Below are 25,653 nucleotides of genomic sequence, written 5' to 3'. Positions count from 1 at the left end.
TCCTTGCTTTTCACCCTTCAGGGAATGCCTGGCTCCCCTGTCTTCTGCGCAGTGCCGTGCAGCGGATAGGAGAACCCCTTCCTTCTGCTCCCTCATTTGTTCCCTGCGCAACCTGCGGAGTGATACTTACAACACAAATCTGACTGTGTCAGCCACTCCCTTAAATTTTCCTATAGATTCCCATAGCTCTTTATACATAGATTGCCATGACCCACGCCTCCTGGCTCCCACCCTGCTACTCCTGGGCAGTTTCACGTACCATTCTCTCTTCCTGGAATGGCCCTTGGTCTGGTTAATTTCATATTATTCTCAGCTCACTTCCTTCAGGAAGCCCTCTGGACTTGCAAGCTCCTCTTAGATGACGTCTCTACTGTGAGGATGGAGAAAGAAACAGGGTGAAGTGGTTCAGAGCACAGACTACAGGGCTGGACGTCATAGGCCCAGCTCTCAGCACCATCACACAAGGCCTCAGTCTTCACTGTCCTTTCAGTAAAACAGGCAAATGATAGTCTCACCCACAAGAGGTTGTTGCAAAAAGTAGACATGTTAGCAGTATGTGTAAGCCTGGCATGCAGCGCTTGCTTTGTAATACTAGCTGTAATTATTTAGGACCTGTTATTTCTTCAGCACGCTTGCCAGAATTGTAACTGAACAGTTAATTATGTAAATAGCTGTGGAATGGCCGGGCACAATGACGGGTGCCTGTAGTTCTAGTTACTAGGAGACTGAGGTAGGAGGACAGCTTGAATTCAGGAGTGTGAGGCCAGCCCTGGCAACATAGTTGCCCTGTCTCTATTTTTCAGTAGAGGAACTGTGTCCTCAGACCTCACCATTAGAGTTCAAGTGTCTGGCATACAGTAGGTGCTCCCAGATAGCTCCGTGCCCACCTGGCTCATGTTTGCCTCACCTGTAAGCACTTCTCTCCTGAGCATCTAGACTGTGGCCAAACCAGGAGGCCAGGCAGCCTCTGATCTCTGCCCATCCCTCACCTGAATCTCAAGCCTTCTCCTTCTCTTAAGGCACCTTGAGAGGAAGGGAAATGGGCTGGGTGCACCTGTGGTCCCAGCTACTTGGGAGGCTGAGGCCAGAGGATTGCTTGAGCCCAGGAAGTCGAGGCAGCAGTGAGCCGTGATCGCTCCACTGCACTGTAGCCTGGGCAACAGGCTATGGAGCGAGACCCTGTCTGAGGCTCAGGTCCTGGTTGTCCCCTCTAGCTAGTGTAGACCCTGTCTTAAGAAGCAACTTCCTTTCTCATTGTTACGCAGGCAAGTCTAGTTCTTTCCACCCTCACTCCCAAAGGGATAGTGGCATATCTTTGCATAACTGTAAGGCCCATTAAAGAGACTTAAAATTGTTTTTTTCTTTTTCTTCTTAAGCGAAAGAATGGTCTCCTCCCAAAGATAAATCAGAAAATAATTGAGGCCAGGCATGGTGGCTCATGCCTATAATCCCAGCACTGTGGGAGGCTGAATCGGGAGGATCGCTTGAACTCAGGAGTTCGAGGCCAGCCTGGGCAACATAGTGAGATCTCGTCTCTATTAAAAATATATATTAGGCTGGGCACGGTGGCTCACGCCTGTAATCTCAGCACTTTGGGAGGCTTAGGTGGGTGGATCACGAGGTCAGGAGTTCAAGACCAACCTGGCAAGATGGTGAAACCCCAGCTCTACTAAAAATACAAAAAAATTAGCCAGGCATGGTGGCATGTGCCTGTAATCTCAGCTACTAGGGAGGCTGAGGCAGAGAATTGCTTGAACCCGGGAGGTGGAGGTTGCAGTGAGCCGAGATCGTGCCATTGCACTCCAGACTGGGTGACAGAGTGAGACTTTGTCTCCAAAAAAAAAAAAAAATATATATATATATATATATGTGTGTGTGTGTGTGTGTGTGTGTGTCTGTGTGTGTCTGTGTGTCTGTGTGTATATACATACACACAGACACACCCACACATATATATGTATATTATAAATTTTTTTTTAATTGGTTATCTTTTAAAAACAATTTGTCCTGGTTCCCTTCTCTAGAGTCCTGCCTTGCTGGAGCTCCCAGGACAGATGAGGCTCCTGGCCCTGGGAGCTGCCTGCCCAGAGGGTACCTTGCCAGACCTCCCGGACTGCTGGAGGGGTTCAGCTCCCTGCCTCTGGCCCTCTGCTGGCTCCCCTTGTGAATGTGGTTGTGGGGGGAGACAGGGTGAGCCGCCAGCTGGAGCTGGACCCCACATGGCTTTCATTCACCTTCCCGGGCATTTCCTGAGTTTACCAGAGCCAAAGACAAACTAAAAGTTTTCATAGCTCAGGTCTTGCAACCTCCTTGTCTCCTGAGATGCGCAAATCCCTCAGATTTGCAACCCTCTGATGTCCCTAGGATATGTTCCCCATATCCCTTGTCTGCCTCCTCTCCCCGCACTCATAACCTTTCACACTGACCCTCCACAGAGGCTGATGCTCCCTCACAAAGTCATTCACTCATTCACTCATTCATCTGAATGATTATTTATTGAAGGTTCATTATGTGGCATCCACTGTTTTAAATCCTGGGGATAAAGCCCCGAATTGGACTCTTTTTCTTTTCTTTTCTTTGGGAGACAGTGTCTTGCTCTGTTGTCCAGGCTGGAGTGCAGTGGTGTGATCTTAGTTCACTGCAAGCTCTGCCTCCTGGGTTCAAGTGATTCTCCTGCCTCAGGCTCCTGAGTAGCTGGGATTACAAATGTGCACTACTACACCTGGCTAATTTTTATATTTTTAGTAGAGACAAGGTTTCACCATATTGACCAGGCTAGTCTCAAACTCCTGACCTCAAGTTATCTGCCCATGTCAGCCTCCTCAAATGCTGGGATTACAGATGTGAGCCACCTCACCTGGCCTGGACCCTACTTCTACCCTTCAAGGGGCTGCTGACATTGTAGTGGGGACAGACAGATAAGTAATCAGTTACAGCCTGGGAGATAAGCTGAGCCAGTCAGGGAGAGCACCTAAGCCTTTCACACTGTCTCACTCTCTTGCTGACACGCAATCTTTCACCAGTCACATTTGCAGTCTCTTTCTCAAAGACATTCAGACACGACTGGGCACAGTGGCTCACTCCTGTAATCCCAGCACTTTGGGAGTCTGAGGTGGGCGGATCACTTGAGGTCAGGAGTTCGAGACCACCCTGGCCAACATGGTAAAACCCCATCTCTACTAAAAATACAAAAATTGGCCAGGCATGGTGGCACACGCTTGTAATCCCAGCTACTGGGGTGGCTGAGGCAGGAGAATCACTTGAACCTGGGAGGCAGATGTTGCATTGAACCAAGATCACGCACTGCACTCTAGCCTGGGAAACAGAGCAAGACCCTGTCTCAAAAAAAAAAAAAAATACATTCAGACACACACACACACACACACACACACTCTCTCTCTCTCTCTCTCTCGCTTAGCAGAGGCAAGAGCCTGTCACCCTAAGATCCTGCTGTTAACCTGCCTCTGCCTCAGTTTCCCCACCCAGAAAGCCGTCATGCTCCAGCTTCCTCTTCTTCCTTTTTTTTTTTTTTTTTTTGTGGAGATGGAGCCTCGCTCTATTGCCCAGGCTGGAGTGCAGTGGCGTGATCTTGGCTCACTGCAACCTCCGCCTCCCAGGCTCAAGCAATTCTCCTGCCTCTCCTGCCTCAGCCTTCCTAGTAGCCGGGACTACAGGCGCCTGCCACCACACCCAGCTAATTTTTGTATTTTTGTAGAGACGGGGTTTCACCATGTTGGCCAGGCTGGTCTCGATCTCCTGACCTCAGGTGATCCACCCGTCTCGGCCTCCCAAAGTGCTGGCATTACAGGCGTGAGCAACGGCTCCCGGCTGCTCCAGCTTCTTTCTTCCTAGGAGTGTTGGGGGAAATGAACGTGTTCCTGTTCCTGAGCTCGTGACTCTTCAGCTCCCGTTACATGCCAGGCATCATGCTGGGTGTTGTACATGGGTTATATCCTTTAATTCTTCCACCAAGCCAAATGGCATAGGAATCCTTAGCTCTGATTTGTAGGTGAAGAAACAAGCTCAGGGAGATGGAATTACTTATTTGAGGTCATCTAGCAAGTGAATTGCAGAACTCGAACCCCTGTCTTCTGGGGCAAAGATGGAGAGCTCGGGATAACTCTCCAGAGTGGGATCATTGATGCTACTGCATCAGATGCTTTCTGTCTCCATCCTTAACTGTGGCCCGGGAAGGTGCAGATTCACCTGAAGGTGAGTGTGTTGGGGAGGGAGGTGTGGGGGCTGGGACTGAGCACTGCACTCCTTGACCTTTTAGCCAGCAGTCCTGAGGAGACACCAGGCCCAGGCAGGGGTTTGCAGACTCTGTGCCTCTGGAATGCTGGGCTGGGCCAGGAGGGTCTCCTGAGGCCAGGTCCTACCCCCCACCTGCCTGGGGGCAGAGTCATCGGGGGGTAGAGGGCAGACGTTGCCTGGTGCCAACGATGTTGCTCTTGGATGGCAGCCGGGCCCAGGGAACACTGGGGCTCTTGTGCAGAAGGGCTGCCACTAAAGCCGGCCCGGCCCCTGCCCAGGCCCCACTGCAGCCCGGGCCTGGCCCTAACTCTGGGCCCAGTCTTGTTCTTTTTTTTTTTTTTTACCCCCAAGATGGAGTCCTACTCTGTCATCCAGGATGGAGTGCAGCGGCGCAATCTCGGCTCACTGCAACTTCCGCCTGCCGGGTTCAAGCACTTCTCCCGCCTCAGCCTCCCGAGTAGCTGGGATTACAGGCGCGCACCACAATGCCCAGCTGACTTTTGTATCTTTTGGTAAAGACAAAAATCACCATCTTGGCCAGACTGGTCTCCAACTCCTGACCTCAGGTGATCTGCCCACTTCGGCCTGCCAATGTGCTGGGATTATAGGCGTGAGCCACTGCACCCTACCCAGTCTTGTTCTTTCTTCATTTTTTTATTTTACATTATTTTTTTTTTTGGTGATGAAGTTTCGCTCTTATTGCCCAGGCTGGAGTACAGTGGCGCAATCGCGGCTCACTGCAAACTCCGCCTCCCGGGTTCAAGCGATTCTCCTGCCTCAGCCTCCCAAGTAGCTGGGATTATGGGCATGCACCACCATGACTCGCTAATTTTTGTATTTTTAGTAGAGACAGGGTTTCATCATGTTGGCCAGGCTGGTCTCGAACTCATGACCTCAGGTGATCCACCTGCCTTGGCCTCCCAAAGTGCTGGGATTACAGCCATGAGCCATTCTGCCTGGCCTCTTTCTTCATTTATTCTCCTTCCTTCCTTCCTCCCTCCCTCCCCCTCTTCTTTCCTCCTTCCTTACTCTTCCTCTTCTTTTTCCTCCTCCTCTTCTTTGTCCTCTTCTTTTTTTTTTTTAAACAAGTTTTATTTTGAGAACATTTTAAAATACAGAAAAAGTACACAGGGTCATACCATACCCAGCTGCTCAGAATTGACAATTGTTCATTACCATTTCTTTTTTTTAAGTTGAAACAGGGTCTCATTATGTTGCCCAGGCTGGTCTTGAACTCCTGGGCTCAAGCAATCTGCCTGTCTCGGCCTCCAAAAGTGCTGGGAGTACAGGCTTGAGCCACCGCACCTGGCCTATTTTATCATTCTTTTCCAACCCTTTTCTACCTTGGCTTCTCCACAGGCTCCAGGGAGGTCTAGCTTGGCTGGTCAAAACGGAGGTGACATTGACAGAAAGTGAGTGATTAAAGGTTGGGTGTCAGAGTCGGACAGATCTGGGTTTTTTTTGGAGACAGAGTCTTACTCTGTCGCTCAGGCTGGAATGCAGTGGCACGATCTAGGCTCACTGCAACCACCACCTCCTGGGTTCAAGTGATTCTCCTGCCTCAGCCACCTGAGTAGCTGGGATTACGGGTGTGTGCCACCACGCCCAGCTAATTTTTGTATTTTTGGTAGAGACGGGGTTTTGCCATTGTTGGCCAGGCTTGAACTCCTGGCCACAGGAGATCTGCTGGCCTCAGTCTCCCAAAGGGCTGGGATTATAGGTGTGAGCCACCTTGCCCAGTGACAGATCTGGGTTTGAGTCCCGAAAACTCTTTGTGGTCACGGACAAATCACTTAACCTCAAGCCTCAGTTTCATCTTCTGTGAAATGGGAATAATACATCTTCCGTGAGGACTCAGTATGATGATGTATGTCAAGCACAATGCCAGTGCCTGGCATATACCCCTTGCTCACTGAAGAGTAGCCAATATGAATATTTGCAGCTATGGGCCTGGGACCCACCCAAAAGCATGGGCAACACCCTCCTGTGACCGAAAGGGAGGGACTGTGAGAATGACCCCTCCTCAGCCTTCATTTCTCCTCATTTCCCACCCGTCCTCAATTCTGGGTACATCTGTCTCCAGTTTATACTCTGAAGACAGCAGGGCTGTGAGTTACAGGTTGCCCAGGGCATTTTTGTGGAGGCAGAGAGTTTAGAGCTGATGACAGCCTGGGAGAGCTCTGGGGAGGCTTCCAAACCAAAGTGGATGGAGGGGAACTGGGGAGGAGGGATCTGAGTGAGGTTAGTCCCGGCTAACCTCACTCAGTTCTAACTACCCTGGGCTGGTCCTGGGGCTTCTCACAGCCTCAGTAGCACCCCCCGTCCCCTTATTCACTGGTCTCGGATACTCTAGACCTGTGGCCTGGCTTGCTAGGACAGGGGCTTTCAGGCTTTGCCAGACTCAGCCTCTCTAGACTTGGGCCTACAAGCCTCACACCCACCGGGTGTTGGCATGCACGTCTGTTTGGAGGAGGACCGACAGCTGGGAAGTGGCAGAGGCTGGGCTGGAAGGGTGAGAGGGTTGGTGGTCTCCAGGGAAGCGGGAAGTAAACTCGTGCCCTTCTGTACTTTGCCCGGTGCCCTGGACCATGGAGGGTTTCGTTGGGGTGTGAATAACAGAAACCTAAGTGAGCAGGGCCTAAATGAAACAGTGTATCCATCTCTCACTTAGCCCCACGTCCAGAGGTGGGTGTAGGTTGGTCTGAAGTCAGGGTTGAGGACTCGTCCGTTCTCCAGGTTTTTCTCTCATGGTCGCAAGATGTTGGCTTCAGCTGCTGCCGTCACATTTGTGCAGAGGCAGGAGGAAGGAAGAAGTTCCAGAGAGTTGAGTTTCCACACAGCAACTCCCAATTTCATTTCCTTGGCCAGACTGTGACACGGCCACCCCTAGCTGCAAAGGAAGCCAGGAAGTATATTCATTTTGCTGAACCCCTTGCTTCCCCTAACAAAACCAGGGGCTATCAAAAAGAAGCGGTGACTGGTTCCCAAAACGACTTTTTTTTTTTTTTGAGTCTCTCTGTCGCCCGGGCTGCAGTGCAGTGGCATGATCTTGGCTCGCTGCAACCTCCACCTCCCAGGTTCAAGCAAATCTCCTGCCTCACCCTCCTGAGTAGCTGGGATTACAGGTGTAAGCCACCACGGCTGGGTAATTTTTTGTATTTTTAGTAGAGACGGAGCTTCACCATGTTGGCCAGGCTGGTCTCAAACTCCTGACCTCAGGTGATCCACCTGCCTCAGCCTCCCAAAGTGCTGGGATTATAGGCGTGAGCCACCGTGCCTGGCCCCAAAATGACTTCTTTAAACTACGGATCTAACCAAGTCACTCCTCAGCTTTTATTTTTTTAAAATCATTTATTTATCTATTTATTTGAGACAGAGTCTCATGCCCAGGCTGGAGTGCAGTGGCATGATCTCGGCTCACTGCAACCTGTCTCCTGGGTTCAGATGATTCTCCTGCCTCAGCCTTCCAAGTACCTGGGATTACAGGCGTGTGCCACCATGCCTGGCTAATTTTTGTGTTTTTAGTAGAGACGGGTATCACCATGTTGGCCAGGCTGGTCTCGAACTCCTGGCCTCAAGTGATCCGCCTGCCTTGGCCTCCCAAAGTGCTGGGATTACAGACACTAGCTATTACGCCCGGCCAGCTTATTTTTATTAGAGACGGGGTCTTGTTACATTGCCAGATGGGATTTCAACTGTTAGGCTCGCAGGATCCTCCTGCCTCAGCCTCCCCATTAGCTGGGACTCCAGGCATGTGCCACTGTGCTGCCACTCCTCACCCTTAACTACTCTCCCCCCACCACCCACTGGCACCCCCAGCTCCTCAGCCTGACATTCAGGGCCCTCCAGGACTGGCCTCTGCTGCTCTCTGCTGTCCCAGCTCCAGTCTCCCCCAAGACACCTGCTGTTTCGCAGCTGCAGTGAGCTCCAGGTAGAGCCTCTGAATGTGCCTGACTGGCTGACACCGTGGCGTCTTTGCTTATGCTGCCTTTGTTGCTGAGCATTCTTCCTCTGGCCTGCCTATCTGTCCTCCCCGCTTTCCAGGCATTCTACCAGATACCTGCCATTCAGCAGGTATTTCTGGACTCCTCTCAGGCATTCCCTTTTCTTTTCTTTTCTTTTTTTGAGATGGAGTCTTGCTCTGTTGCCCAGGCTGGAGTGCAGTGGTGCAATCTCAGCTCACTGCAACCTCCACCTCCCGGGTTCAAGCAATTTTCCTGCCTCAGCCACCCGAGTAGCTGGGATTACAGGCACTCACCACCATGCCCAGCTAATTTTTATATTTTTAGTAGAGATGGGGTTTCACCATGTTGACCAGGCTGGGCTCGAGCTCCTGACCTCAGGTGATCCACCTGCCTCGGCCTCCCAAAGTGCTGGGATTACAGGCGTGAGCCACCGCGCCTGGCCAGGCATTCCTTTTTCTTTCAGATCCCTCCTGGCCACCCTAAACTGGACATTAAAACCCTTTTCCTCTCTCTGGTAACGACCCCTCAAACTTTTCTTGATGTCGTGGTCCTCCCCTACTAGCAGTCCACGGGGGACTGGATGAAACCAACACTCCTCCTTGGCATTTATGGTGGACATGTGACCCAGACCTGGCTAAGGAGAATATTCCATCTCCCAGGCCATTGTGATTAAGTCAGAGATGAGCATGTGACCATGGGAGGGCCAATGGGAGCCAGTCTAGGTCTTTTATTGGAATGAATAGGAAACCAACTCTCTGAGAAGCTGAGCTGTGAATAGGGATGCCTAGAGTTGCTTGGGAGAGCTTCTCTGTGAAAGACAGCAATAAAGGAAACAAGAGGGCCAAGAGCTGGAGTGCACCCGGATCAAGCCTTGCCTGAAGCCATTCCTTCTTTGAACATTTCACTATGTGAACCAAATAATTTTTTCTTCGGCTAATCCTTTTTCTTAAACCCTTTATAAATAAAAGGCTCCTTCTCAGTAGAACACCCTTCCTTTGTGTCTCCACTCTCCTCTGTTGGCTCTTTGGCCATAGTACTCATTTGTTTACATGGCAGCAAATTCATCCTGTTTTCACTGCTATTTGTTTAAAACCTTTTAATAAATTTCCATGGCTTTTAGGAAAAAGACCTGTATTAGTTATCCATTGCTTCATAACACATTACTTTTAAACTTAACGACTTTACATAACAAATATTTGGCTGACTATTGGTGTTAAAGAAAAAATTATTCAAAGATACTTGTTTTTATGTTTATTTATTTATTTTTCTTGAGAGTCTCGCTCTGTCGCCCAAGCTGGAGTACAGTGGCGTGATCTCGGCTCACTGCAACCTCCGCCTCCTGGGTTCAAGCGATTCTCCAGCCTCAGCCTCCCAAGTAGCTGGGATTACAGGCACCTGTCACCATGCCCAGCTAATTTTTGTATTTTTAGTAGAGACGGGGTTTCACCATATTGGCCAGGATGGTCTCAAACTCCTGACCTCAAATGATCCACCCACCTCAGCCTCCCAAACTGCTGGGATTACAGGCGTGAGCCACCACGCCCGGCTCAACGATACTTATTAAAGCACAGTAAAGAAAACTTTATTCAGGACCATTGAGATAGTCACAGGGACCACTGCAATGGGATCTTGCAGAGGGGGAGAGAGATTGGGCTCCATTCTGAATACAGCATGGGCGAGTGGGAATTCTGAGCCAAGGAACAGAGTGGGGAGCAGTGAATGGAAAATGACTAAGAGGAAACGTTGGGGTAAAGGGGTTCTGTCCAAACTGACCCAACAGGATTCTTGCTGAAGACAGGCCCATCAGCCATCACCTGGGGGATGGTGGAGGAGGAGGAACCTGATCAGATATCGAAGATGGGCGGCAGTTCTTGCTAAACTAGACTTAGCAGGTTCTTTGCTAAAACTAGATTTTACAAGGAAGTGCACAGATGGACCTAGGAGAAGGCTCAGAAGCCTGACTAAAATTTGGCCAACCAAAGAATCTTTGTCATTGGTAGAAGACCTACATTTCTCTCAACAACAGCCTCTTGATAGGGCTGCTTGAGTGTTCCCACAACACGTTAGCTGGTTTCCCTCAGAGCTGGTGATCCAAGAGAGAAATATTGAAGCTGCAATGTAATGTATAACTTACTCTCAGACATCAGATTCTTGTCACTTCTGTCTTATTCTATTAGTTAAAAGTGAGTCACAGCCAGGCACAGTGGCTCACGCCTATAATCCCAGCACTTCAGGAGGCTGAGCGAGGAGGATTCCTTGAGCCTAGGAGTTTGAGACCAGCCTGGGCAACGGAGTGAGACCCTAATAAAAAATATTAGCCAGACGGGCGTGGTGGCTCACGCCTGTAATCCCAGCACTTTGGGAGGCTGAGGCAGGTCAATCGCCTGAGGTTGGGAGTTCGAGATCAGCCTGGTCAACCTGGTGAAACCCTGTATCTATTAAAAGTACAAAAATTAGCTGGGCGTGGTGGCGGGTGCCTGTAATTCCAGCTAATTGGGAGGCTGAGACAGGAGAATCGTTTGAACCCAGGAGGCAGAGTTTGCAGTGAGCCGAGATTGCACCACTGCACTCTAGCCTGGGCGACAAGAGAGAAACTCTGTCTCAAAAAAAAAGGAAAAAAAAATTAGCCAGGCACAGTGGCGCATGCCTGTAGTTCCAGCTACTCAGGAGGCTGAGGTGGGAGGACTGTTTGAGCCCAGGAGATCGAGGCTGCAGTGACCTATGATTGTGCCATGCACTCCAGCCTGGGGGACACAGCAAGACCTTGAGTCAATCAATCAATCAGTAAGTAAAGTGAATTGCTACTTACAGCCCATATTAGGGGATATAGGGTAGAAATTAAACTTGACCTATTGAAGGGAGGAGTATTAAAAAGTGTAGATTTTTTTGTTTGTTTGTTTTTTGAGACGGTGTCTGGCTCTGTCGCCCAGGCCGGGGTACAGTGTTACTCATCTCGGCTCACTGCAACCTCTGCCTCCTGGGATCAAGCCATTTTCCCGCCTCAGCCTCATGAGTAGCTGGGATTACAGGCACCCACCACCATGCCCGGCTAGTTTTTTTTTGTATTTTTAATAGAGACGGGGTTTCACCATGTTGTCCAGGCTGGTCTTGAACTCCTGATCTCATGATCCACCTGCTTTGGCCTCCCAAAATGCTGGGATTACAGGCGTGAGCCACCATGCCCGGCCAAAATGTAGATATATTTTATTTTTATTTAAAAAAAATTCTTTTTTTTTTGAGACGGAGGGAGTCTTGCTCTGTCGCCCAGGTTGGAGTGCACTGGCGCGATCTCGGCTCACTGCAAGCTTCGCCTCCTGGGTTCATGCCATTCACCTGCCTCAGCCTCCCGAGTAGCTGGGACTACAGATGCCCACCACCATGCCCGGCTAAATTTTTGTATTTTTAGTAGAGACGGGTTTCACCGTGTTAGCCAGGATGGTCTCGTTCTCCTGACCTCGTGATCCGCCCGCCTCGGCCTCCCAAAGTGCTGGGATTACAGGTGTGAGCCAACTTGCCCGGCCAGGAATCCCTCCTCTGTCTGACCTAACTGCCCTCTGCCCTGGAGCTGCTCAGCCTCTATCAATTTTTCTGGCTCTCAGCGAACGTTTTCATTCAGTTGCAAGACACAGAAACTCAAATTCAAACCTGCTTACACAAAATAGTGAATGTACTGGCTCATGCACTTTTTAAAGAGATGAGGTCTGTTGTGCTGCCCAGGCTGGATGTGAACTCCTGGGCCTAAGAAATTCTCCTGCCTTAGTCTCCTGAGTAGCTGGGACTACAGGAGCATGACTGTAAGTCCTGGTGTGAATCAGGCTCCAGAAACAGCTTGATCCTGGTTCCCAACAGTATGGTCAAAACTCATTCTCTCTTCTGTCTTCTTCTCTATGACAGGTGCTCCCTAAGAAGTGACAAAGAAGGCCACTAACAGCTCTGGGCTCGAGACATTCCCACTTGGCAACTTCTCAACTGTTCTGGCAAAAGCCAGGAGAGTGGAGGTCTTCCCCACCCGGACTACATAAGCTGAGGGTGGGGTTTTTCAAAGAAAAGCTTATTATAGGAAGAAGGGTAAACAGACACTAGGAAGCTTCTGATTATTATACCTAGTGATTCTGTGAGCCTTTACTGCACAAACTGTTCCCAAACTTAATTATTTAAAACAATGTATTATTTCTCACAATTCTGTGATTAGCTGGGCTCAGGTGGCAGTTCTGCTTATGCTGTGGATTGGCTATGCTAGAGGGTCTGGGATGTCCTCCCTCACATGTATGGAGCTGGCTGTTGGCTTCTCTCTCTACCTGGTCTGTGGTCGCCACATGGTCTAGCCCAAACTTCCTTTCACAGGGTCAGGAACGGAAGCTGCATGAGCACTTAAGTCCTAACCTTGGAAGTCGTACAGTCATGTTACTGAATTCTCTGATCAAAGCAACTCACAAGACTAGTTCAGATTCAAGAGACTGGGAAATGGACCCCCCCCCTCCCCCGCCCGCCCGATCTTGATGGGAGCAATGATAAAGTCACATTGCAAAAGGACACAGGCACAGGGAGGCAATGATTCATGGGAGGCCATTATTGAAACAATCAACTGTGTTCCACAACTCGCCTCTTCTAGTTCCTTTCACTAAGCCTCCTCCCACCCCAGCAACCTGGCTCCTTTGACCTTCATGACCACTAGAGGATCATCTCCCTCAATAAGTCTTTCCGGCCAGGTGCGGTGGCTCACGTCTGCAATCCCAGCACTCTGGTAGGCCGAGGTGGGAGGATCGTTTGAGCTCAGGAGTTCAAGACCAGCCTGGGCAACACAGTGGGACCTTGTGTCTACAAAAAATAAGATAATTAGCTGGGTGTGGTGGTGTGCGCCTGTAGTCCCAGCTACTCGGGAGGCTGAGGTGGGAGGATCACTTGAGTCAGTGAGGTCGAGGCTGCAATGAGCTGTGTTTGCACCACTGCATTCCAGCCTGTGTGACAGAGTGAGACGCTGTTTCAAAAAACAAACAAAATAAATGTCTTTCCTGTGAAATCCCAGCAATGGTCCCTACCAGACCATACCCATTTTTATTCATTTATTCATTAATGTATTCAATCACCAAGCAGTTATTAAAACATAAGCACAGTCCTATGCTAGGGACCAGGGATGCAGTATCATAAGACCCAATTCCTGCCCTCAAGCAGTTTCTAGTCTAAAAGAAGAGACAGGGAATTAGATCATCGTAACACAGCATATTAAGGGCTATGCTAGAGGGGAACACAGGGCATCTGGGAACACAAAGGGCAGCCAACTTGGCCTTGGGGGCCAGTGATCTCTGGATGAGTGGAGGTCCCCAGGTTGACAAGGGGAGCTGGAGCAAGTATTAGGCAGAAATCTTGGTTGCAAGTTATAGAAACTCAACTGACTTAAAGAAAAGTCATAACTAAAAAGTCCTGGGGGATATTAGCTTCAGGCATAGCTGGATCCAGGTAGTCATCAGAAATGAGTCTCTCCTTATCTGGAGTACAGTGGTGTGATCTCGGCTCACTGCAACCTCCGCCTCACGGGTTCAAGCAATACTCCTGCCTCAGCCTCCTGAGTAGCTGGGACTACAGACGTGCGCCACCACGCCTGACTAATTTTTGTATTTTTAGTAGAGACAGGGTTTCATCATGTTGGCCAGCTGGCCTTGAACTCCTGACTTCAAGTAATCTGCCTGCTTTGGCCTCCCAAAGTACTGGGGTTACAGGTGTGAGCCACCGAGCCCGGCCTCCTCTGTGTTGGCTTAGTTCTGAAGCAGGCTGTCCTTACATGCTGGACACTAACAGCTGAAGACTATGACTGTGATTACTCAGTCGGGTCACAGGCTCACTCCTGGAATCAGAGAGCAGGGCCAGTCCCTCGGAACCACAGGATCTGAGAATGGAGCAGGTTTGTCACCCAAAGGAGAAAAGGAAAAGAAGGGCTGTGGAGCTGGCCTGACATCAGGTGTACTTCTAGACAGGTGACTAAGTTACAGCCCTCAAACAGAGAGGGCCTCCTGAGGGAAATGTCCTGAGGGAAGGGGAAATCGGCCTTGGGAATGAGCAGAAGTGCTAAGATCAAATCTCTCTCCAAGGCTACTTCTTGGTTGTGTAAGCTCTGCAAGACTTTGTCCCTGACTTTCTCCTGTGAAATCAAGTCTTTGCCAGTTGTCCTGAGGGTTAACTGAAATAGCATATACAGGGGCTCGTGAAGTCACCCTGTTCTCTTCCCATTAAATCAAACAGTAAAGTCCCAGGGCTGGTCTACCTTGCTAGAAAAAAGAAGCTGACTCCACCTAGTGGCTAATGGGGTCATTGCACTGAAGAGTTGAACATTTACAGAACTGCGTTCTGATATTCCTAGACAGATGAAGCAGCATATATGAACAGTAAGCTTGGGAGAGACAGGCCGGGGACGGGTCTGCCCTGTCTCTGTAACAGGGCTTTGCACAGGGCAGAGAGGTGAGGTTAGGTGGATGGATGGTCAGAGGGAGAAAGTGTTCTTCCTATTGTATTTTACACTAGTGACTGCTCATCAGAGCATCTGGTTTGGGGGTGGGGACAGCTCATCTGGCAGGGACTGCTGTGAGGGAAGGAAGGGCTTTCTTCTTCTTCTTCTTTTTTTTTTTTTGAGACAGAGTCTCGCTCTGTCGCCCAGGCTGGAGTGCAGTGGCACGATCTCAGCTCACTGCAAGCTCCGCCTCCCGGGTTCATGCCATTCTCCTGCCTCAGCCTCCCGGTAGCTGGGACTACAGGCACCCGCCACTACGACCAGCTAATTTTTTGTATTTTTAGTAGAGATGGGGTTTCACCGTGTTAGCCAGGATGGTCTCGATCTCCTAACCTTGTGATCCGCCCACCTCAGCCTCCCAAAGTGCTGGGATTACAGGCGTGAGCCACCGCGCCTGGCGCCTGGCCCCTTTTTTCTTTCTTTCTTTTTTTTTTTTTTAAGAGGCTCCCATTATGTTGCCCAGGCTGGATTTGAACTCCTGGGCTCAAGCGATCCTCCTGCCTCAGCCTCCCGAGCAGATGGGATTGCAGGCACGTGCACCACACCTGGCTTAGGGCTCTGGGAGGAAACTCTACCTGTTCATTGCTACTTCTTCAGGATTTGAGCTGGGAACTGTGATTTCTTCTAACTTCCACTTCACAAGGCCTCAGGTCACATATAGCTGGTGGCAGTGCTCAGACCAACACTTAGGGCTCCTGAATCCCAGGCCCTTGTCCCTCATGCCACCCCTCATTGGCTGCTATACAGGTACATGTCTAGATCTGTGTCTGCACTGGTGGGTTGTTATATTCAAACAGCTGCTTTGCATCTAGCTCTGGGCTAAGAGTATGCTTCCACTTCCTCTTGGTTCCATTTCATGCATGATTCCATTTCTTCCCCTCAGGTGTGACACCTCAGTAGTGTCACTGGCCAAAGAGCCTTGGGCCTGGGATAAGCAGGGGCTCCCCAGTAGTGGAGGGTGACTTTTCGCTGGGCCCCAGTAAAGAATCACTTCTAGCCACTATGCTACTTTTCCCCCCGCCTCAGTCAGACCGGATTACTGAATCTTATTACATGGGGCTATGCCAGATGCCATCTGCTTGTGGCCTTACCCCCGCTCCAGGGGGACTCAGGGCTTACTTCAGGTCAACAATAGAAAGAGCAGCAGCTATCATTTATATAGCATTTATCATGTGTAAGGCACTATTATTTCATATCCACCTATTCTTTTAATTCTCATGATCACCCTGTGAGGTAGGTACTAATGTTCCACCCCGAGGCAGCTTTGCGATGGCAGAGCTGGGATCTGAACCTTAGCTGCTTGCTTCCCAGAACCTGAGTTTTCGCCACTACGCTAGACTGCCTCTCCAGAGCTGATGCCTCTCTGAGACCCTCCCTAGGCACTGGAGCCATGAGCAGGGGCTCCCTCATATGCTTGCCTGCTGTATTGTGGGTCCTGGGTATTGATTTCTGAGGCCATTCGAGGCTACAAAATTCAAACCTGTCTTGAGCATGCTAAAAGTAAGAAGGGCCCTGATTTCAAGTCAGGAACTATGGATTCAAATTCCTGGGTACCACCAGAATGGCCAATATTAAAAAAACTGACAACACCAAGTGCTAACCAAGACGTGGAGCTGCTGGAGCTCCCACACACTGCTGGTGAGGATGTAAGTCAATAGAGCCACTTTGGAAAACTGTTTGGCAGTGTCTAGACAAGCTAAACATATGCCTACTCTATGATTCCACGCCTGAGTAGATGAGTGAACATGTGTACCAAGCAGCATGTAAAAAATCCTTCACAGCAGTTTTATTTATGATACCCCCAAACTAGAAACAACCCAGTTGTCCCTCAACAGGATGGCTGGGCCAGGCTTGGTGGCTCACGCTTGTAATCCCAGCACTTTGGGAGGCTAAGGTGGGTGGATCGCTTGAGCCCAGGAGTTTGAGACCAGCCTGGGCAACAGGGTGAGACGCCATCCCTACAAAAAATACGAAAAACTAGCTGGCATGGTGGCATGTGCCTGTAGTCCCAGCTACTTGGGAGGCTGAGGCGGGAGGATCACTTGAGCCCAGGAGTTCGAGACCAGCCTGGGCAACAGAGACTCCATCTCTACAAAAAATAGAAAAAATTAGCTGGTGTGGTGGCATGTGCCTGTAGTCTCAGCTACTTGGGAGGCTGAGGTGGGAGGATCACTTGAGCCCAGGAGGTCGAGGCTGCAGTGAGTCTTGATGGCACCACTGCATTCCAGCCTGGGGGCCAGAGTGAGAACATCTCAAAAACAAAAACAAAAAAGTAGGATGGCTAAATTGTGCTATATTCAAATAAAGGACCACTACACAGCACGAAAAAACTCAACTTGTTTTTTTTTTTTTGAGACAGAGTCTTACTACGTCACCTAGGCTGGAGTGCAGTGGCGCGATCTCAGCTCACTTGCAACCTCCGCCTCCCAGGTTCAAGCGATTCTCCTGCCTCAGCGAGCAGCTGAGATTACAGGCATCCACCACCACGACCAGCTAATTTTTGTATTTTTAGTAGAGACAGGGTTTCACCATGTTGGCTAGGCTGGTCTGGAACTCCTGACCTCAAGTGATGCGCCCGCCTCGGCCTCCCAAAGAGCTGGGATTACAGGCATGAGCCACTGCGCCTGGCTGAAAAAAAAAAACTGAACTTCTGAGACATACAGTAACATGGGTGAATTCCACAAACTAATATTGTGCAAAATGTATGATTCCATTTTTATAAAACTCAAGAGCAAGCAAAACTAATCTATAATGATCGAGGTCAAAATAGTGGTTGCTTCTGGGGGATACTGACTAGGAGGGGAAATGAGGGAATGTTTTAGGGACCTGGCAATGTTCTGTATCTTGATCTGGAGGGTGACTGCCCCAATGTATACATGTAAGTGAGGATTCATCAAACTGAAGTCTAAAATTGGTGCACATTACTGAATGTATGGTGTACCTCAAAAAGTTAGAGAAAAAAAGGAAACAGTTAAACAATTTCTGGGTATAGTGCACAGTTGTTTTTGTCCCCCTCCCCCTGCATCCATTCCCCCTTAATCTGGAAAGAGCCCTACAACCTTCTTCTTTTGGGGTTGTATCACTCCCTCTCTCAATGTTTTAGGTGGAGCTGACTCAGCTTTAGGCACATGACCCAGGCCCCAAATCAGAGTGCCTTTTCCCCTAGCCACAATGATTAATTCAGGGATGAGAACAGGACTAAACCAGTTGAGGCAATCCCAGATATTTTGTTGGAACTAGTGGAGAAAGGTGTTCTTTCCACTGTTGTTACTAACGTATCAGGATAGAAGCCTGGGGCTGCCAGTGGCCACCTTGGCACCTCTTGGAGAGAGCTTGCCTGAGAAAGGGCACACAGAGGAAAGCAGAGGGATAGACAATTCTTCCTGATGAGACCATCTCCGAGTCTGGGTCCAGCTATCATTGTATGTGGATTTTTCATTAAGTGAATCAATACATTTACCTTTTTAGCTAATCGCTTTGATTTGGGTTTCTAACACTTTAATAATTAGAGTCTACTACACTGGGATCATGGGAATGGACAAAATTATGAGAAAAATGGAGGGACTTGGAATATAAACATTGAGCCTTGTCTCATCTGTTTTGTGGGTGCTGCCCCTGCCCTGAGTGGCTGCTCACCCTGTGAGACCATGGCACTGACAGGAGATGGGTGAGGCAGGCTGCAGGGGCCATGTGGGAGGTACTCTGGTCCTCACTCATAAAGGGTTCCAGAGGAAGTCTAGAGAACTGGATTCTACTCTCCATTTTGTCATTTCTTAGAGGCAAGACCTTGGGCAAATCATGATACCTTTTTCAGCCTTGTTCCTTCTCTCCATGGTTTTTATTTATTTTATTTTTTATTTTTTGTAGAGATGGGATTTCACCACGTTGGCCAGGATGGTCTTAAACTCCCGGCCGCAAGTGATACACCCGCCTTGGCCTCCCAAAGTGCTGGGATTACAGATGTGAGCCACCCTGCCTGGCCTCCTTCTCTATATGGAATATTAACTCTTAGCTCAAAGGTTGTTATGCAGATGAAATGCTAGCTTTCCAACCTCTCCAGCTTTTTCATGCCCTTGGCTGAGTCAGCTCCTGCATCCTGGGCATTCTTATCATTGTCATCATGATCTTTGACTGTGTGTGAACCCCTAAGGGCAAGAAAGTGTTCATCTCTAGGTCCCTTTACCAACAGGGCTGGCCACACAGCTGGTAGGGACTACAAAGTGGTCTTGCAGGCCGGAGGCTCACGGTATGATAGCCCACTCACCCCCTGCCCTTCATTTCCTTGCTTGGTAGATGGGGCTGAATCTGACATACTAGGTGGCTTAGAAGGACTCTGGGGAATTGCTGAGGCAGTCTGATCATGGGAAGCTGAGAACCTCCCTTGGGGCTGTGTAGAGCCTTTCACAGCTGACCAGGAGCAGGGGCTGAGTGGCACTGAATGGGAGCTGAGGCTGCCTGGGCCCCTTCCTCAAATCTGGCTGTCTACAGTAAAGGATGGACAAAGAGCTCTTGAGGCCATAACATTCCTTTCTTTTTTTAAATTTTAAAAATTATTATTTTTAGAGACAGGGTCTTGCTCTGTTGTCCAGGCTGGAGTACAGTGGCATAATCATAGCTCACTGCTGCCTTGAACTCATGGTTAAAGCGATCCTCCTGCCTCACCCTTCCAGGTAGCCAGGACTACAGGAATGCACCACCACACCTGGCTACCTTCTTTTAAAATTTATTATTTATTTATTTTGAGACAGGAGTCTCACTCTGTCACCTAGGCTGGAGTGCAGTGGCACGATCTTGGCTCAATGCGACCCTCCGCCTCCCGGGTTCAAGCAATTCTCTTGCCTCAGCCTCCCAAGTAGCTGGGACTACAGATGTGTGCCACCAGGCGCAGCTGATTTTCGTATTTTTTATAGGGACGGGGTTTTGCCATCATGTTGGCCAGGCTGGTCTCGAACTTCTGACCTCAGGTTATCCACCTGCCTTGGCCTCTCAAAGTGCTTGGATTACAGGCGTGAGCCACGGCGCCCAGCCTTCAAATTTATTTTTATAATTTTTTTTTTTTTTTAGATAGAGTCTTGTTATGTTGCCCTGGCTGGAGTGCAGTGGTTATTCACAGGCATGATCACAGCATACTTCAGGCTGGAACTCCTGGGCTTGAATGGTCTTTCTGCCTTAGCCTCCTGAGCAGCTGGGACTATAGGTGCATGACGCCGCACCTGGCCATAACACTCCTTCTCAGCTCATTTTTGAGTCATGAAAAATGCTCTTTCAAGAATCACCAGGCCTATGATAAGTCCCATGGAACAAACCTATCACTGTGTAAGAGCTGAGCAGGAGAAAACCATCTCTCCTCATACACCTCATTTGTTCATTCAATAAAAATTCATGACACACCACTATGGACATCAGGAAGTAGAGATGAATAAGGCTGGGTCTCTGCCCTAAGTGATTAGCCTGGAAAGCCATACTGGACACAGTGTCCATACTGGCCTCCTTGTCTCCTTTCCTGCCCCTCCCTGCACTCCTTTACATAACAGCCAGAACAGTTCTCTCAAACATAAAGCAGATCCCCAGCTTAAACCCTTTAAAGACCTTCATGAGGCCCTATGTGACAGGAGAAGCAGGAGAAGGTGGTGGATGAGAAGATGAGGCTGTACTGAGTTCAGGGCACCTGAACTCAAGGGAGACTTTCACAGGGTGCTCGACTCTGTCCCAACTCCTAAAGTGACTACTGGGGACTACTGAGGTCTGAATGGGGTGGGGGTGAGGGGTCAAGACAGACATACTAGATCCAATGGCAATATGGCTCAAAACCCTAGGTCTGTTAAGTTGTAGTCTGGCCCATGAGGGAAATTCTTTATTTGGATGCTTCAGTGACCAAGAGACAGAGCATTAGGCACACACAGAAGCACACACATACACACAAACACACACACACACACACACACATCCACACACAATATGCAAAGCAAAGGCATTTCACAGGTGAAGGGATAGGGAGTGGGGGAAGGAGGCCACGAGAGCAGCTAGGGGCTTCTTTGACACAATGAAGAGAAGCCTCTGATGGTGACACTCCTTGGAATTCTCGTCTCAAGGTTACAAGGAAAAATCTATCCGTGTGGACTCAGTCCCAGGCCATAAAACACAGCAAAGATAGAGAAATCTGGGTGTGGGGCCTGGGAAACGCCTGTTCCTCACTGTAGAAACCTGCATCAGCTCTCTCTTTCTTTCCCTGGGACCCAGAAATCACCCGGTGGATGATGGGGAAGGCTAGCACCACAGCAAACTGGGCAAGTGGTCCGCTGCACAAGGGGGAAGAGAGGGCTAGTAGGGCCGAGGGTAGCAATGAACCTCACAGCTAGCGGGCATGAGGCAGTCTGCCTTTAGGGGCAGAACCCTCAGGGAGACTTGCATGTGGGGCACTTTCCCGTGTAACCTAGGGTCAGAGCACCTCTGATGGAGGAGGGGAAAGGTCCCATCCCCATTGGAGTGTCCTATGATCTCAGTGGACATGGAGGCCGCCCCCAGCCCCAGCTCGTTGCCAACTGCTGCAGATCCTTAGCACCATTCAGGAACTGTGGAGGGGGCAGCGGGGGTAGCAATGCTCCGCCAAGATTGTGTCACTGCTCCAGGAGGATACTTCACAGTTGGCAGAAACCTGCGCAACTGGCCATATCTGGTCTAAGACTCAGGAAAGCCTGCACCTTCTGGGGGAAGGCAGAGTGTCGTATTAGCTCCAAGCTCCCATGTTGCAGCCATTTCCTCTGTTTCCTGCCCTGCCCCAGGTTTGGCATGAAAGTTCCAGGTTTTGCTGGAAATGTCTAGGGCCCAGAGAGATCTCTGCTCTTTAGTTGCAAGAACTGGCCCAAAACTGACCTTTAGAGGAAAGACAGGTGGCAGGGGCCTCAGCACCTAAGGCCCAGAGGGGTTGGGAAATGGGGAAAGCCACCCTCCAAACTACCACCCCGCGAGACCCCGAGTCTCTCAATACCCTTGCCTCCCCTGTCATGACCTACAGGACCCCTGCCAAAGGGGAGCAGCAGGAGTGAATTAGCCCGGACCAATGAGAGGCTGTCTGTGGCCCAATCCTGCCTCAGGCCCGTGTACTTTCCTGGTGAGAACAACGAGCAAGAGGGAGCCAAGGGCTGAGCAGTCACGGGAAGCTGGCTCATGGCTGGCCCAATATGGGATGCTGGGCAGAATCACCTCTAGTCTTCCAAGGTGGTTGAGTCTTTCTGAATGGGTTGCCTTTGCATTGGAATCTGGCCCAGGGATGATGCCACTGTTTTTGGTGACCTGTATTTGAGAAGGAACAAAGGAAGAGGGTCAGTGTGTGGCAGCTGTATTGGCCTACTGCAATGATAGCACTGCCCTTCCAGGGCCTTGGAGTAATAGACAGGACACCTTTCCTTCACTGAGGTCCACTGTGGGCTGGCAGAATGCTGGATGCTTAGCTTCCATCATTCCATCCTCATGGCAATTCTGCAAGGTGAGAAACAGCACCCTCATTTTACATACAAGGAAACTAAAGTTCAGAAAGCTTAAGTGGCTGGCCCGAAGTATGTTTTTAGGTGGTAGGTTCAGGACTGTAGCCAATGCCTTTTCACTATACCAAACCACTGCCTACAGGGCCCTATAAAAACTCATTCCATTTGGTAGTGGCAGAGTAAAATGAATGGGCTTCGAAGTCAAACAGGCTTGAATCCCAGGTCTAACTGCAAGTAACTAAGTGACCTTGGGGAAGTCAATTAACCTATCTGATAATTAGGCTTTCTTTGGTTGTAAAAGATGGGTTTGGGAGGGGGTATCCTAATTTCAGACCTTTTGTTGAGAAATTTAATGAGACTCAATCAGGTATTCAACAAATTATAGCTTTATTCTTACAGAATTAGAGGCTTTTTTAAAATTTTGAGACAGGATCTCACTCAGGCACCCAGACTGGAGAATAGTGGTGCCATCATAGCTCACTGCAACTCATGGCTCACTCCAACTCCTGGGCTCAAGCTATTCTCCCACTTCAGCCTCTCAAGTAGTTGGGACTACAGGTGTGTGCCGCCACACCTGGCTAACTTTATTTTTTGTAGATGGGGTCTCACTACATTGCCCATGTTGGGAGAATTACAGACTTATTGACTTGCCCAAGGTCACACTGCTGGAAAGTTTAGCAAGAGAGCAGCGAACAACACTGGCAATTTCAGGTGTGGGTAGCCCCAGGGAGGGGCTCTGGTTGGCTTCAGGTTGTCTACTGTAACTGCCATCAGCCAGGCTGCAAGGGAGGTATGTATGCTGAAACACTGTGGGGCTGAGTTGCTGGGGCAACTCAAGTCTACACCTAAGAGTCCCCCAAAGTAAAAAACATATTCACAGGTAAAGAGGATGATCTGCTACAGTGTGAGAGAGGAGACTCCAGGCAGAGCAGAGAGAACTAAGGACATTTTTTACACCAATACTCTGTGTTTCTACCACCTTTAAATCATTCAGCTCAATGAGCAAAGCAAAATCAATGACCAAAGTCAAAGCAATCATTTCGGCAGCTTGCCTGCCTGAAACTCAGTTTCCTTGTCTGTAAAATGGGAATTCTTCTACCTATCTCAGAAGGTTATGCTGGGGCCAGGTGCAGTGGCTCATGCCTGTAATCCCAGCACTTTGGGAGGCCGAGGCAGATGGATCACTTGAGCTCAGGAGTTTGAGACCAGCCTGGCCAATATGGTGAAACCCCATCTCTACTAAAAAAAAAAAAAACGTTATGTTGTGGCACACTGCTCATACCACACGTTTCCCTTCGGAGAGGAAGGGACAGAACCATGTGGGCCCTCCAGGCCAGGCCCTATTCTCTTCATATCAGTGGTGCCATAGCCTACTTCTGAGCCTGACGCCTTGGGAAGAGCATGCTGTGAGCCAGACAGGCTTCAGTTTGAATCATGACCTTGCTTCATTCACATCACCACTTTGAATGCTGGTTGTCTATATGTATAAAATGGGAATAATTATCTCTTCCTCTCAGGGTTGGAAGGATTACCTGAGAAAATCTGCTTGACATATGGCCTGCAACAGAAGAGGGGCTCAATGAATGTTAGTCACTTCCAAGATTACCATGAACAGGTAACTCTCTGTTCACCTGGTTCCTTCAAAACCCTTATCACAATCTGTGATTATTGGTTGTTTACTTGCTTAGTCTGTTTCCTCCCACCAGGCTGTAAGGTCAGGAGAGCAGAGACTGGGTCTGTCTTGGCCATCATTCAGAAGATGCTCAATATATATTTGATTAAGGAATGAGAGGGCCTGGTCATATTTGATAATGACCTATAGAGGGAACTCCTGCCAGAAAAGGAGAGGGTCTCCAGGCCAGTGGAAAAGCACTTCCCCAGTCAGAGTGCTACAGACTAGGACAGCCAGGTGTTCTTAGGGTCCCACCAAGGAAATCATGTATGCTTCTCTATTAAACCCTTGAGTCCAACAGGTCTAAAGGCTGGGCAGAAGCTGGTGGAGAAATACATATAGAGGAGACACTTGTTCCTGTTACATGATTCATCTTCTGTTCACTGAAAAAAGACTGCCAGGATTCCATTTCAGCCGAGAACTACCTGGCTTTGTTCTGATGCAGAAGTCCTGAGCTCCTGCTATGGATCCTAGAATTTCAAAAAATGGTTACTTACTGGTTCTTGTGTTTGAAGCCGCTGACATGAGCTTGGTACTGTTCTATGGAGTTCAGCACTATCTTACATGTTTTGCAGGGGTAGCCCTTTCCAGCTGAAACACATCAAAATCAAGATCTTAGTAATCCAGAAAGAAGGAACCTGAAGACCGTTGCTTTTCAGAGTGTACAAATGCCCTTCTAAGGACGGACAGGTGAGGCGAGGTGAGGTTGCTGGCCCTGATGAGAACCCAGAGGCCACAGTGCTAAGGAGGCACAGACTGTGTGCCTATGTGCTTCCTGGGGTTGGGAAGATCCTCATTCCTGTGTCCCTCGTTCCAGCGTAGAGCCTGGCCCAGACTAGCTGTCTGCTGAGTGATAAAAGAATGACAGAACAGAGAGGTGACATTTGGTCTGTATTTCTACCTTGACTGTGCTAAGTGGCCTCATTAAGGACGTCCTTCACTGAGAGATCTCTGGGAAGGTGCCACTCTCCTAGGGCTTGCGGTAACAGTAATTAGTGAGAACGCTGGTTATGATAATCAATCTGTCTTTCTACCCTGGGAATCACAGACCCTATCTCAGGGCTGCTCCAATGACAAAGTGGCTTTTCCCACATGGTCTGGTAGTGAGGGAGGAGCCAGGATAGGGAACTGAACTGCTGGTTCTGCTTTCAAGTGATCTTAGCTAGATCCTTTCCTTTCTTCTGATCCTTTTCTTTTCTTTTTTTGAGACGGAGTCTCGCTCTGTGGCCAGGCTGGAGTGCAGTGGCGCGATCTTGGCTCACTGCAACCTGTGCCTCCCGGGTTCGAGGGATTCTCCTGCCTCAGCCTCCCAAGTAGCTGGAACTACAGGCATGTGCCACCACACCCAGCTAATTTTTGTATTTTTGGTAGAGACAGTGTTTTATCATGTCGGCCATGATGGTCTCTCTCTCTTGACCTCATGATCCATCCGTCTAGGCCTCCCAAAGCGCTGGGATTATAGGCGTGAGCTACCGCACCCGGCCTGATCCTTAGCTTTTCTTACCCTCAAACCAATTACACCGCAACTTGTTTTTTTTTGAGACAGTCTTGCTCTGTCGTCCAGGCTGGAGTGCAGTGGTGCGATCTTGGCTCACGGCAAGCTCCGCCTCCCGGGTTCACGCCATTCTCCTCCCTCAGCCTCCTGAGTAACTGGGACTACAGGCGCCTGCCACCACACCTAGCTAATTTTTTTTGTATTTTTAGTAGAGATGGGGTTTCACTGTGTTAGCCAGGATGGTCTTGATCTCCTGACTTCGTGATCCACCCGCCTCGGCC

The 25,653-nt window shown here is 49.5% G+C and overlaps 1 protein-coding gene across 25 annotated transcripts in view, besides 1 other annotated feature; it reads right to left on the bottom strand.

Moving 5' to 3' along the window:
* ZNF346 (zinc finger protein 346) overlaps nucleotides 5,337-25,653 on the bottom strand; it is a 58,494-nt gene continuing 38,177 nt past the window's right edge. For 14 of the 25 annotated variants that reach the window (NR_131773.2, NR_131774.2, XM_047417054.1 and 11 more), the window contains 2 exons: nucleotides 24,375-24,468; nucleotides 18,541-22,014 (listed from right to left, as the gene is read on the bottom strand). Coding sequence is in view for 23 of the 25 variants with exons in the window: in XM_047417054.1 (XP_047273010.1) it covers nucleotides 21,927-22,014; nucleotides 24,375-24,468 (182 nt within the window). In the remaining 2 variants the exon portion in view is untranslated. Of the gene's footprint in view, nucleotides 7,145-18,540; nucleotides 22,015-24,374; nucleotides 24,469-25,653 lie in introns of those variants that run through there. The other 11 variants (XM_011534496.3, XM_017009297.3, XM_017009299.3 and 8 more) reach the window with 4 other exon arrangements.
* Nucleotides 23,642-24,841: an enhancer, noted in NCBI's record as "CDK7 strongly-dependent group 2 enhancer chr5:176488686-176489885 (GRCh37/hg19 assembly coordinates)". NCBI's record gives its function as "activates an origin of replication core promoter dependent on BRD2, BRD4, P300/CBP, MED14 and CDK7 cofactors, with strong dependence on CDK7, by STARR-seq in HCT116 cells {active_cell/tissue: HCT116}" and the evidence as "EXISTENCE:reporter gene assay evidence [ECO:0000049][PMID:35650434]".

The sequence above is a fragment of the Homo sapiens genome, chromosome 5 (genome assembly GCF_000001405.40).
Source record: "Homo sapiens chromosome 5, GRCh38.p14 Primary Assembly".
NCBI classification, from domain to species: domain Eukaryota; kingdom Metazoa; phylum Chordata; class Mammalia; order Primates; family Hominidae; genus Homo; species Homo sapiens.
Note: the sequence above shows the minus strand (reverse complement) of the source record. Positions and strands in the feature narration are given on the sequence as shown.